This window comes from Homo sapiens, chromosome 12, assembly GCF_000001405.40.
Source record: "Homo sapiens chromosome 12, GRCh38.p14 Primary Assembly".
Taxonomy (NCBI): domain Eukaryota; kingdom Metazoa; phylum Chordata; class Mammalia; order Primates; family Hominidae; genus Homo; species Homo sapiens.
The window spans coordinates 55326868-55341099 of record NC_000012.12 but is presented as its reverse complement, the minus strand read 5'-3'; the positions used below and the strand labels follow the sequence as shown (position 1 = coordinate 55341099).

The 14232-nt window shown below is 35.3% G+C and overlaps 1 protein-coding gene across 2 annotated transcripts; it reads right to left on the bottom strand.

Moving 5' to 3' along the window:
- Window positions 1-8463: 8463 nt before the first annotated feature.
- Window positions 8464-11057, bottom strand: OR6C3 (olfactory receptor family 6 subfamily C member 3). 2 transcript variants are annotated; one of them, NM_054104.2, is made up of 2 exons: window positions 10748-11057; window positions 8464-9443 (listed from the first exon to the last, which is right to left on the bottom strand). In NM_054104.2, exon 2 carries the CDS (start codon window positions 9397-9399, stop codon window positions 8464-8466), a length of 936 nt encoding a protein of 311 aa, NP_473445.1. In that variant the 5' UTR covers window positions 9400-9443; window positions 10748-11057. The 2 variants fall into 2 exon arrangements, with proteins under 2 accessions (NP_473445.1, NP_001375427.1); NM_001388498.1 differs by lacking the exon at window positions 10748-11057 and adding an exon at window positions 10293-10354.
- Between the last annotated feature and the right edge of the window lie 3175 nt (window positions 11058-14232).

Sequence of the window (14232 nt, the reverse complement as noted above, 5' to 3'; positions counted from 1 at the left end):
ATATTGATAAGAAAGTATAAAAACATAATTATTAATGTAAATGAGGCAAATATATAAACCACATGTGACAATGAATGTATGAAACTTTGATTTAGAATTTGATTCTTCTGCAATTGTAATAATCCATACATTTCTTCCAGAAAATCTGGACCTATCTTCAGGAGAATTAACATACTTACATAAGCGTATCTCTTGAATTTTGGCAACCCGGAAAAGAGACTTTTCTGTTTCACTATGAGATGGTAGAAAACACGGCTTTGGATTTCCAGTATGACTTAATTGTCTTCTGAAATGGACAATATTAAGGTCCTATGAGGAGTTTTATCCCTGTATTGGTCCTTTGAGTTTTTTTTTTTTTTTTAGATGGAGTCTCGATACGTTGCCCAGGCTGGAGTGCAGAGTGGCGCGATCTCAGCTCACTGCAAGCTCTGCCTCCCGGGTTCACGCCATTCTCCTGCCTCAGCCTCCCGAGCAGCTGGGACTACAGGTTCCCACCACCGCACACGGCTAATTTTTTTGTATTTTTAGTAGAGATGGGGTTTCACCGTGATAGACAGGATGGTCTGGATCTCCTGACCTCGTGATCCGCCCACTTCAGCCTCCCGAAGTGCCAGGATTACAGGCATGAGTCACCGTGCCTGTCCGGTCCTTTGAATTTAGGGAAACCCTTCCCAAGTCCCACTACCAATGTCAGAGCAATATTTGCTAAAAGTTGCATTTATTTGACTATTACTAAAAAGAAAAAAAAAAACAGATACTGGCAAGAAGAGGGAGAAAACGGAATGCTTCTTAACTGTTGGTGGGGATGTAAATTAGTGCAACCCCTATGGAAAACAATATGGAGACTTATCAATGAACTAAGAATAGAGCTACCATTTCATCCAGCAATCCCACTTCTGAGTGCGCAAAGGAAAATAAACCATTAAATAAAAAAGATATTTGCATTCATTTGTTCATCACAACACTATTTACAACAGCAGAGTCATGGAATCAATCTAAGTGTCCATCAACAGATGGTTGATAAAGAAAATATGGTATATATATGTATAAATTATATACCATGGAATACTACTCAGCCATAGAAAGAATAAAATAATGTCTTTTGCAGCAACATGGATAGAACTGGAGGCCATTATCCTAAGTAACATAACTCAGAAGTAGAAAGTCAAACGCCATATGTTCTCACTTATAAGTGGAAGTTAAACAATGGGTACACACTAACATACAGAGTGCAATAATATAATCTGGTTGAATACAAAAGGCTTCATAAAAATCAGTTTAAACTTTTCTCAGATTTTACCTTAGAGATTATTACTTTGGAAATGTCTTATGACATTCCTATAATTAGTACAGAATTGTTTCCTTGGAGTCCTCAGGGGGGAAAAATGACTTTTAATTTTTTTTCTAACAGAAATCGGTGAATTTGAATCCCAAGTCGGACCAAAGTCCTGACAAGTATGAATGAGAACAATAAGTAAAAATAGTAATCATCCAAATTACTCTCAAAATCTGTAGGTTTTCAGATATGTTCTATTTATAGTCCAAGTGTCTCTATTTTGTTAACTAGCTATCTATAGTTGAAGATGATTTTTAACTTAAAAAACAAAAGCTCTCCTGAAAAGTAGGACATTAAGATGTTCTTATGAAAACCATAACAATATTAATTTATAACTTGTGGGACTAATGGAGCAACCTATGGGTTTTGGATTAGAAATGTAATTTAGCTATATACAATATTGTGACTTTGAACAAATTATTTAATATCTCTGAATTTTAGTTTTTTTATTTTTTAAATGAAAATAATATTTCATGGAGCCCCTTATTGTGAGGAAAATTTTAAATATAAAGTAAAAATAAATTATACATAATTTTCTAGTATGGTTGATCCTTGAACAACATGTGTTTTACTTGCACAGGTCTCCTTCTATATGAACTTTTTTCAATAACTGTATTGGGAAAACTTTTGGAGATTTGCAACAATTTAAAAAAACTTGCAGATAAACTACGTAGCCTAGAAATATGACACCCATGTGAAGTGTCACTAGTGACGGTGGAAGTGCCCCCAAAAGGTAGAAAAAAATCATGACATTGCAAGAAAAACTTGAATTGCTTAATATGTACCAGAGATTGAAGTCTGCAGCTGTGGTGGCCCACTATTTCAAAATAAATAATCCAGTGTAAGGACCATTGTAAAAAACGAAATAAGGAGATTAACCGAAGAAGCAGTTTCTGCTGATCAGGAGGCCATAGACAAATTCCCAAGTACTATTAAGGAAATCATTGAGGAGAAAGGACATTTGCCCCTACAGTTTTTTTAATGCAGACAAAAGTGCACTATTCCAGAAAAAATTTTTCACAAAGGGCACTTATTAGGAAGAGAAATGAGCACCAGGATTTAAGGCAAGAAGGGAAGACTAACTCTAATTTTTGTGCAAATCCAGTTGGATTTATGATCAGAACCGCTCTTGTTTATAAAGCCTCCAATCCCTGATCCTTGAAAGAAAAAATAAACACCACCTGCCAGTTTTGGTTGTACAACCAGAAGGAGTGAACGAGAACTCTTTTTCTAGATTGGTTTCATAGTGCTTCATCTCTGAAGTCAGGAGGTACCTTGCCAGTAAGAGACTGCATTTTATAGTTCTTTTGATATTGGACAATACCCTTGGCCCCCCAAGCCCCATGAGTTCAATGCAGAAGGCACCAAAGTAATCTACTTGCCCCCAAACACAAATCCCCAATTCAGCCTTTAGGTTAGGGGTCATAAGGACCTTTAAGGCTCATTATTCATGGTACTCTATGGAAAGGATTGTCAATACTATAGAACTCTGAGAGAACATCATTAAAGTCTGAAAAGATCACACCACTTAAGATGCCATCATTGTTACGGAAAAAGCTGTGAAAGCCATCAAGCCGAAAACAATAAATTCGTGCTGGAGAAAGCTGTGTCCAGATGTTGTGCATGACTTCACAGGATTTAAGACAGAAACAATCAAGAAAATCATGGAAGAGATTGTGGATATGGCAAAAAAAAAAAAAAAAAAAAAAAAAAAAAAAGGAGGCGATGAAGGATTTCAAGATATGCATCTTGGAGAACTTCAAGAGCTAATAGACACCACTAAAAGAGAAAACAGGAGATAACTCAATGGAGATAAGTGCTCCCAAACCAGAGCCAGATGATAAGGAAGAAGATACAGAAGAAGCAGTGCCAGAAAACAAATTTACACTAGACAATCTGGCAGAAAGGTTCTGATTATTCAAGAATTCTTTTGACTTCTTTTATGACATGAACTTCTCTGTGATATGAACACTGAAACTAAAGCAAATGGCAGAAGGATTAATACTGGTGCTCTCAACACAGAAGCATGTAGATTCATAGAACAAGTTTTTAGAGACTTTCAAAGAGAGTTAGACTCCCATGCGGTAAGAGTGGGAGACTTTAACATACCACTGACAATATTAGATAGATCATAAAGACAAAAAATTAACAAAGATATTCAGAACCTGAACTCAACACTGGATCAAATGGACCTGATATATATCTACAGTACTCTCTGCCCCAAAACAGCAGAATATACATTCTTCTCACTGCCACATGGCAAATACTCTAAAATAAATCACTTGTAAAATCAACTACAGACATAAAACGCTCCTCAGCAAATGCGAAATAACTGAAATCATAACAAACTCTCAGACTACAGTGCAATCAAATTAGAAATCAGGACTAAGAAATTCACTCAAAACCATACAATTACATGGAAATTCAATAACCTGCTTCTGAATGACATGTGGATAAAAAATGAAGTTAAGGCAGAAATCAAGAAGTTCTGTGAAACTAATGAGAACACAGATACAACAGTGTTAATGGGAAAATTTATAGCACTAAAGGTCCAAGTCAAAAATTAGAAGATTTCAAATTAACAACCTAACATCACAACTAAAATAAGTAGAGAACGAAGAGCAAACAGATTCCAAAGGTGGCAGAAGACAAGAAATAACCCAAATCAGACCTGAACTGAAGGAGATTGAGACATGAAAAACCACTCAAAAGATTAACAATCCAGGATATGGTTTTATGAGAAAATTAATAAAATAGACCACTAGTTAGACTAATAAAGAAGAAAAGAAAGGATTCAAAAAACACAGTGAGAAATGACAAGGGGGATATTACCACTGACCCCACAGAAATACAAACCATCAGAAAATATTATAAATACCTCTATGCACATAAACTATAAAATCTGGAAGAAATGGATGAATTCCTGGACACATATACCATCCCAAGACTGGATCAGGAAAAAATTGAATCCTTGAACTTACCAATAACAAGCTCTGAAATTGAGTAACAAATAGCCTACCAATGAAAAAAGCCCAGGACCAGAGAGATTCACAGCTGAATTCTCCCAGATGTACAAGGAAGAGCTGGTACCATTCCTCCTGAAACTATTCTAAAAAATTTAGGAAGGGGCACTTCTCCCTAACTCCTTCTATGAGGCCAGCATCATCCTGATACTAAAACCTGGCAGAGACACAACTAAAAAAGAAAACTTCTGGCCAATATCCTTGGTGTACATAAATGCAAAAATCATCAGCAAAATATTGGCAAACCAAATCCAGCAGCACAGTAAGGCAGGTGGATCCCTTGAGCCGGGGAGTTCAAAACCAGACTGGGCAACATGGCGAAACCCTGTCTCTACCAAAAATAAAAAAATTAGCCGGGCGTGGTGGTTTGGGCACACCTGTATTCCCAGCTACTCAGGAGGCTGACATGGGAGGATCGCTTGAGCCCAGGAGGCGAGGGTTGCAGTGAGCCGAGATCGTGACACTGTACTCCAGCCTGGGGAACAGAGTCAGACCCTGCCTGGAAAAAAAAAAACCCAAAAACCAAAACCAAAACCAAACCAATAACAACAGAAAAACCACCCTGCCTTGCATATAATGGGGAGTTTCCTATATGTACTAGGCCATGAAACGTTCGTAAGTTTATGTGGAAAACGAGGCACAGAAAATAACTTTCTCAAGGAGACAAGAGTTTTTCCTGATAGCCAAAGTTCTTATTACAGGAGTAACTCAGCATGTTAGGGTAAAACACCCACACGATGAGAGTGAAAGCATCATTTTCCCAGTGAATCCATCTAGTCTCGATTCCTTATTGAGTAGCAAATTACCTTGGTCTATACCCAAATAAATGGGAATGAAGACACATTGTTTCAACATGAACTTAATTAGCACTGTTCTCCTTACTGTTAATATTTATTTTATCCAAAGATTTCATAGGCAACTTGATTGATGACTGCTTGCAAAGAGTACTGTCTCTACCTGTTAGGGAGGCAGTTCCACCTTCCCGACAGCCAAACAAAACCATGGACTTGCAACAAAATCTAAGACTTTCATCTCATAGCCTCTGCGCATACTAATGTTGCATTTGAATAACGTTTCTTAGTAAAAAAAGTTTCCATGTATTTTGTAATTGATCTCACAATTAGAAAATAATATCAAAACTGAAGTATTAGCTTCAAAAAGCTAGCATGTCTAATTTTCTTAAGTTCTTACTGTTGGCAAATTGAAGGTCAAGCATCATAACTCAAAAATTCCACAAATGGTCCTCAACTCATTTAACCAAAGAGAAACGTGTTTCTCATTGCTTATACTTTGTTGGGTAATTATAGATAAAAAGCCACAAAATTAAAATCTAATATTTTGATGGAACCAAAATTTACATATATGAACACTATTTTTTCTTTTTGCTAGAGTTGCACAGACCAAATATTATACTTATAAAAATATTTTAATGTAATGAAGTTGATCAGAATTACAGCTTTTGTTTGGATAAGCCAGGAGAGTTTAAAAGAATAAAATCTATTCATATCATTTATGTGACAACATTGATCAAGTCATTTAGCAACTGAAAAAATATGACTATATATGTCATAAGAGTGCAAAGAAATAATTAAGTTTATGCACTTAGTAATATGTCTGACATTGTAAGTACTAACTGTTAGATCTGAGTGGTATGTCTATTTATCAGAGGCTTTCTGATATTGTATTTTTTTCTTTACCTGTTATCTTCTTCATGGCTATCCTGACAGAAGAAAAAAAATAACAATTATTCTAACTTCCTTATCAGTATATCTTTTCAAATTATTAATATTATCAATGTTGTAAGTCTATTATCATTTAGATATCTATACAATATGTATAGATTGTACATGTACATATCTATACAATATATTCTTCATAGAGAATGTACATATCTATACAATATATTCTTCATAGAGATACAACACATAAAATTGCATTGTGGTCATCCATTTGCTTATGTTTTTCTCTCTTACTAGATCTGTGTGAGAGCAAGAACAAATCTTTTCAATCACTGAATCATTTCTTTAGTAGATACATTTATAAATAAATAAGTGAATAAACAAATAAAAGGCACATGTGAAAGATCCTTAAAATTATTTCAAATATAGGCACAGGTTAACTTTTAAAGTATCACAAATTCCTAAAGATTAAGTTCCTCAGAGATGTCTCCATGTTAATTGCTCATATTGGAAGACTTTGGTTTCCAGATCTTACCAGCAAATAGTTGAGACATAAAAGACTAAAAATTATGTGAAATATATTAAAATCTATAAAATTGAAGCTTTCATTATTTTACAAATATTTGAAATTTTTTTTTACATTTTACTTTGTAAGTTATAGCTGTAGGGGTGGGTTGTCCCTACACACCTGTGGGTGTTTCTCGTAAGGTGGGACGAGAGATTTGGAAAAGAAAAAGACACAGAGACAAAGTATAGAGAAAGAAATAAGGGGACCCGGGGAACCAGCGTTCAGCATAATGGAGGATCCCGCCAGCCTCTGAGTTCCCTTAGTATTTATTCATCATTTGTGGGTGTTTCTCGAAGAGGGGGATGTGTCAGGGTCACAAGACAATTGTGGGGAGAGGGTCAGCAGACAAACACGTGAACAAAGGTCTTGGCATCATAGACAATGTAAAGGATTAAGTGCTGTGCTTTTAGATATGCATACACATAAACATCTCAGTGCTTTACAAAGCAGTATTGCTGCCCGCAGGTCCCACCTCCAGCCCTAAGGCGGTTTTTCCCTATCTCAGTAGATGGAGCATACAATCGGGTTTTATACCGAGACATTCCATTGCCCAGGGACAGGCAGGAGACAGATGCCTTCCTCTTGTCTCAACTGCAAGAGGCATTCCTTTCTCTTTTACTAATCCTCCTCAGCACAGACCCTTTACGGGTGTCGGGCTGGGGGACGGTCAGGTCTTTCCCTTCCCACGAGGCCATATTTTAGACTATCACATGGGGAGAAACCTTGGACAATACCTGGCTTTCCTAGGCAGAGGTCCCTGCGGCCTTCCGCAGTTTTTGTGTCCCTGGGTACTTGAGATTAGGGAGTGGTGATGACTCTTAAAGAGCATGCTGCCTTCAAGCATCTGTTTAACAAAGCACATCTTGCACCGCCCTTAATCCATTTAACTCTGAGTTGACACAGCACACGTTTCAGAGAGCACGGGGTTGGGGGTAAGGTTATAGATTAACAGAATCTCAAGGCAGAAGAATTTTTCTTAGTACATAACAAAATGGAGTCTCCTATGTCTACTTCTTTCTACACAGACACAGTAACAATCTGATCTCTCTTGCTTTTCCCCACAATAGCAGTATACAAATTTACAGATAAAGTGTGCTAGACCTAAAGTTTTTTTATCAACATCATTCGGGAGAACATGAGAGTAAAATTAACATTTGAAGGTGGAATTCTCCGATAGTCCAGCCATTAATCAGTGACTTATACCTCAAGCCTAATGATTAATAATTGAATTGATATTCATATAATTTTAAAAATTACTGTGTTTTTAAAATTTATTCTTGTATTTTAAATAAGGAACTTAATTTATAAAGAAAATAAAAATGGCATGCACTAAATTTCATGAAGTAAAGCTCTACATTTAAAGTACAATGCAATAGAGCATAGTACCTCTAGGGACTGAATTTAATGAACATGAAAAAGAACATGTAGAGTCTAAAAGTGTTATGACATTATCAATATTTATCTTGAAAATACAGAAGAATTAAAGTTTGAAACTACATTTGAAGTACAACATGATGACATATGTGCCTTTAAGGAACTCATACACAGAATTAAAATTACTTTAGTAAAATTACTTTACTATAAAATCATACACAAGTTGAGTTTTAAATAAATGTATATAATTCCAGACAATTTTGTAAGGAAAATAAATTTTACTTTATTTTTAAGTAGGTCAATAAACAATGCAGTGGAGAAACTTGTATAGAAGTGGAAGAAATGGACTGGGAAAATATAAAATTAACTATAACATAGCATATAAAGAAACTAGGAGAGCAAGGATACTTACAGAGATATTGAGAAATTTCAAAATTTTGCTTAATTGTTTTTTTAAAGTGCTCTTTATTTTTGACCAAAAATTCATTGATTTGCATAAAACACAACTTTGTGGACCACATTTTTGAAGGCTTGTTTTACTTGCTGGTTTCTCAGAGTGTAAATGAAGGGGTTCAGCATGGGGGCAACAGATGTATTGAGAATAGCTATTCCTTTTGTCAATGATGCCTTTTCTTTTGCAGATGGATTAGCATACATGAATATACAGCTTCCATAAGAAATGGAAATGACAATCATGTGAGAAGAACAAGTGGAGAAAGCCTTTTTTCTTTGACTGGCAGACGGGATTCTCAAAATGGTCCTGATAATGTACATGTAAGATAAAATCACTAATGCCAAAGTGAACAGCAAAGTAACCAAAGCAAAGTAAAAACCAATTACTTCTAGGAGCCATGTATCTGAACAAGATAGTTGTAAGAGGGGAAAATAGTCACATGCAAAGTGATCAATGACGTTGGAAGCACAGTAATCCAGCTGGAGGAGAAGCATAAGGGGTGGGAAAATGGTCAGAAACCCACTTAGCCAGGCACACAGCACAAGTAGAGTGCAGAGTTTCCTGTTCATGATGGATGTGTAATGAAGGGGCTTGCAGATGGCAACATAGCGGTCATAGGACATGGCAGTTAAAATGTAAAATTCAGTCACCCCCATGAAGATAAAGAAAAAGAGTTGGGCTGCACAGTTGTTATAGGAAATAGTCTTATTCCTGGTGATAATTGCCCCCAGAAATCTGGGGATGCATACGGTTGTAAATGAGATTTCTAAGAAAGAGAAGTTCCGGAGGAAGAAATACATAGGTGTCTGCAGATGGGAGTCCACAAAGGTTAGGGTGATGATAGTCAGGTTTCCAGTAACACTTAATATATACGTGATAAATAAAAAGAGAAAAATCACAATCTGAAGGTCAGGATCATCAGAAAGGCCCAGGAGGACAAACTCTGTGACCATTGTGTGGTTCATGTCTCGTCCTTTCTCTCTCTCCTTCTTCCACTCTCCTTTTTGTTCTTTTAAAGATATTTTGGTAGAATGATAATTAAGGAAAATAGATAAAAGATATAATTCATCATGATCCATATAATTATCAATACAATTCTAAAAATCTTCTACAGTCTGACAGTTTTGACTATCTTGTTTGCATTATGTTTTAATATTTTTTTCTAAGTCCAGCCTATTTACTAGTTCTCTTACTTTAAATCTAACAGAAATTAGGATATCTTCAGACAATAAGCCACATCACTGAGAAACAGCTAATAAAATGTATAATACCTGCTTTGTGTCCCATTAATGCAAAATATCATTATCTTTTTTGTTGAAACAATCACATGAAACATACATTTTTCTTTTTTTCATCATGTATACATTAAAGGATATTACCACCTAAACATAAAATGGGTGCTCTTAACTTCATCAAAAGATAAAAGTGAAAATTAGAAGATTGTTAATAACCCATTATTCTTTTTATGATATGAGAAACCAATTAAAGATTTTTAGCAAATAAAACATATATTTATATTAAAATAATGTTATTTTATTTATTCATTTTATTTTTAATATTAATATTTTGGTCTAATTGTCAAGATAATAGAACATCTTATATATGATGTATATTTACTATAAGATAGAGTAAATAATGTAATTATTTTACTCAACAAATAGGGAACATGTTCGCTTACTTATTGGTTTGTCTTATAATTCCATCAAAATCTTTAATGTTTGATGTCTTCTATGACTCACAAGAAATGTGTATATATATTCTACATACAGACATTTTAATTTTGAGCTTAAGGGAACATGTGATATTTATCTATTTTTCATTTTGCTCTGAAGCATAAATTGGAAAAGTAACTACTTGCCTTAGATCTCAGCAACTCTCTCACTTGGATTATAGCTTAGTGCATCTTCCATTTGAACATCTTCCTTTCAGAGCTTTACGGAAAAAGTTTTATTTCCTAGTAAATTTTGTCCCACATAAGACCATTCTTCCTTATGCAACCATTCATTCATAAGGATATCCAGAATTGTATAGGAAACCCTCTCACATTCATTCTAACCTAGTCAGTTAATTTTCAGCTATTCAAGAACTGCTGGATGTTCTATTCTATAGATGTTGTCTGCTAAAATCCTGATAGTTGTCTCCTCCATATTTTAGATTGTCAAATTTCTGCTATGATGGATAGAATGTAAAATTATTGCTTCTCTTCTGGACACTACCAAAGTTCACACTAATCAAATTTTATTTTATGTTTTTCTCTATTTTATAATGGTTTAAGGGATATATTTCAGGAAATAAAAATGGAATGCCAGAAACCTTTGGAAGATGTGGAAATACATTATATTCCTCTTCAATAATGTTGAACTAGAAGTTCAAAAAAAATTTATTCCTCTTCAATAATGTTGAGCTAGAAGTTAAAAAAAAATTTAAAGAGAAAATAGGTAAATATATGACACATTGGATATTATGAGTTAGATTCTGGTATCTGGGTTCCCCCTGGTCATACTTATATCTACAATATTTCAAGTTTCTTTGTTTTGACCTCAAAAGATTTGATCTCCTGGGAACAAAGCAAAGTCCAGGCCACATCTCTGCTGTATTATAGACCATGAAAGATTTCTGGAAGTCGCCTTTGGATTTCTCAGTAGCCTCCTAACTCTTATCTGTAGTCGATCTCCCTTGAGAGCAGTTAGGTTCATCTTTTAGCCCACAGAGGACCTCAAATATTGTCTTCTGTGGAATATTTACTTCCATTAACTGCAATTAATATATTATGCATACTTAATATTTCATAAGTAATAAAAATAGCTATGACATCTATTTTCTTACAAAACTAAAGCTCAATCTAATTGATATTTAAGCATCTTTTTGAGATTAAAAAAGTTTTCTACATATCCCATTTTTGTTTTTTATACTTAGGCTTTGTTAAGTGTTAGGGCATCAAGAAGCAAAAGGTTATTTCATAATGCTAAGTAAAGAATAACTATCATAATGCAAGTATTGTGCTCACAAGTTTTTTAAAAATGCTATCAGGTTAACTAATTCAATTATCATTATAAATTGCAATATTTAATTGCAGTGTCAATTTGTCCATCTTATTGTTTATCTTGGCCTTTACATCTGTTATCCCTTCAACATTCTAATAAAAAGACCCACAAAATATGATTTTATTTATGTGAAATTCTGGTTTGTGAATTATAACTAATTATTCTCTTTAGTGTTCTTTTTATGTTTCCCAAATATTTTGGCAAAAAAAAGTGTAATCAGATAAGCCATTTATTTAACATATAATTTATTTAAACTAATAGTGCATATTATATAATACAGATTAACACAAAATAAGCATTATGTTTTAATAAAATTATGAAATATGTATTTAATGTATAAAAATACAATAAATTTATACAATCAAATAATGTTTTATTTTTTCTTTTCCAGCTTTATTGGGGTATAATTTAGAAATCAAAAATAGTATATACTTAAGATGTATTTTACTCTTATAAAGGAGCATTTAATAAAGGAACATTTTGGCAGATATGTTTCCATATCATAGGGAGTGTTACCCTTAATCACTTAATTTTTGTTGATCACTTTTCTGGCTATTATAAAAATGATGTTATGTTTTCATTATAACAGCTCAATTAATAAGCAGGAAATTCTATCATTATTCATGGAGGGAAAAGTGCAATAATGCCTTGCTTGATTGCATCCTTGTCATATTGATATCCTGTTGTTGCTATTTAGATGTAAAGGCTTAATTGAGGTTTAGGTTTAGGTTTTTTTTTCCTTTCAAAACTAATCCAAAAAGGAATTTTATACTTTCAACAGAGATACATGTTTAATTGATTAAAAAAATAATTAGCAGCTATTGGTGTAACCGCCCAATGGGTTCACCTTGCTGCTGCCTAGACAGAGCCGATTTATCAAGACAGGAGAACTGCAATAGAGAAAGAATGAATCCTGTAATTCATGCAGAGCTGGCAGTGCAGGAGACCCCACTTTTATTATTACTCAAATTAGTCTCCCCGAGGATTCGGGGATCAGAGGTGTTTTGTTGTTGTTGTTGTTGTTTGAGACAGTCTCACTGTCGCCCAGGCTGGAGTGCAGTGCGATGATCCTGAGATCATGCCACTGCAACCTCTGCCTCCCAGATTCAAGCGATTCTCCTGCCTCAGCCTCCTGAGTAGCTGGGACTACAGGCATGCACCACGGTGCCCGGCTAATTTTTGCATTTGTTGTAGAGACTGGGTCTCACCACATTGGCCAGGCAGGTCTCAAACTCCTGGCCTCAGGTGATCCGCCTGCCTTGGTCTCCCAAGGTGTGGGAATCAGTTTTTAAAGATAACTCGGTGGGTGGGGAAAAGCTAGTGAGCAGGGAGTGCTGATTGGTCAGGACCTAGATGAACTCACAGGGAGTCGAAGCTGTTTTCTTGCACAGAGTCAGTTACTGGGTGGGGGCCACAAGATTAGATGAGCCAGTTTATTGATCTGGGTTGTGCCAGCTGATCCATCAAGTGCAGGGTCTGCAAAATATCTCAAGCACTATCTTAGGAGTAGTTTAGGGAGGGTCAGAATCCTGTAGCCTCCAGCTGCATGACTCCTAAACCATAATTTCTAATCTTGTAGCTAATTTATTAGTCCTACAAAGGCAGTCTATTCCCCAGGCAAGAGGAAGGCCTGCCCTGGAAAACTAAGTTCCTCCCAAAGTCAGTTCAGCCGCTCAGAAATGAACAAGGACAGCCTGGAGGTTAGAAGCAAGATGGACTTGGCTAGGTCGGATCTCTTTCACTGTCTCAGTTGCAATCCTGCAGTGGTGGTTTCATTGGTGATCCATGGCTGGATTCATTTGTTCACTATGTGCTACAAAATGATTATATTCTTAACCTAACATTTACCATTCCTTATACATTGTTACAAATTCATATAGAAAATCTCAGGTGAATGCTTACTTGTTCGTCATTCAGTATTCCAAGTTGATTCGCCAGTATCTGTTTGTTGGTATCATTATAAACACATACATTCACAATTTTGAAATCAGCTTTAGCTCATGTTAGTGTTTGACATATGTATTTCAAGAAAGATTTAAATTAACATCTCTACCTCTTTGGAGTGATTTATCCAGGGAGAAAGTCTTCAAGTTGTCTTCTGACTCTCATGGACATTCTGCTTTTACTCTTAGATTGTTTCCTTCTTAAGTAGTACGTCTTTCCAGGCTCATGTTACACTTTCCTGTATTACATCTGGAATCAATAATTTCTCCAAAAAGTTCTCTTTGCATTGATTGGAAAATATTAAATCAAGATAACAATCTGAGCACTAGTTATAATAATTGTCATGAAGTCGATCATCTTTTCAAGGTATTTTCAGTGGAAAGGACAAGCAAATATATTTTTATAACACATAATATTCTTTGGACAATAGGCTGTTGAAAAAATCTTTACAAGAGCATACTAATGAAACAACATTATTTGTCTGGGGTAATACCTGAGATTTGTTGCCTCATATCAAGGAAATCAAGGACATGGACACATAAGGAGTGAGGTTGAGAGTGGAGGTTTAATAGGTGAAAGAGAAAAGCTCCCTCTCATGCAGAGAGAGGGGCTTCTGAGTGGGTCTTCTGGCTCCATGGTGAAACGCACAGGGATTTATAGATGAGCTTGAGGAGGTGGTGTCTGATTTACATAGAGGATGAGAGATTGGTCAGACCAGATGTATCTTTTGCATAGCCCACAAAGAAGCTGGCCTCCCCACCCTAATTTTTTATTATGCAGATGAGTTCTCCACCTGGCCAGTGCCATGTT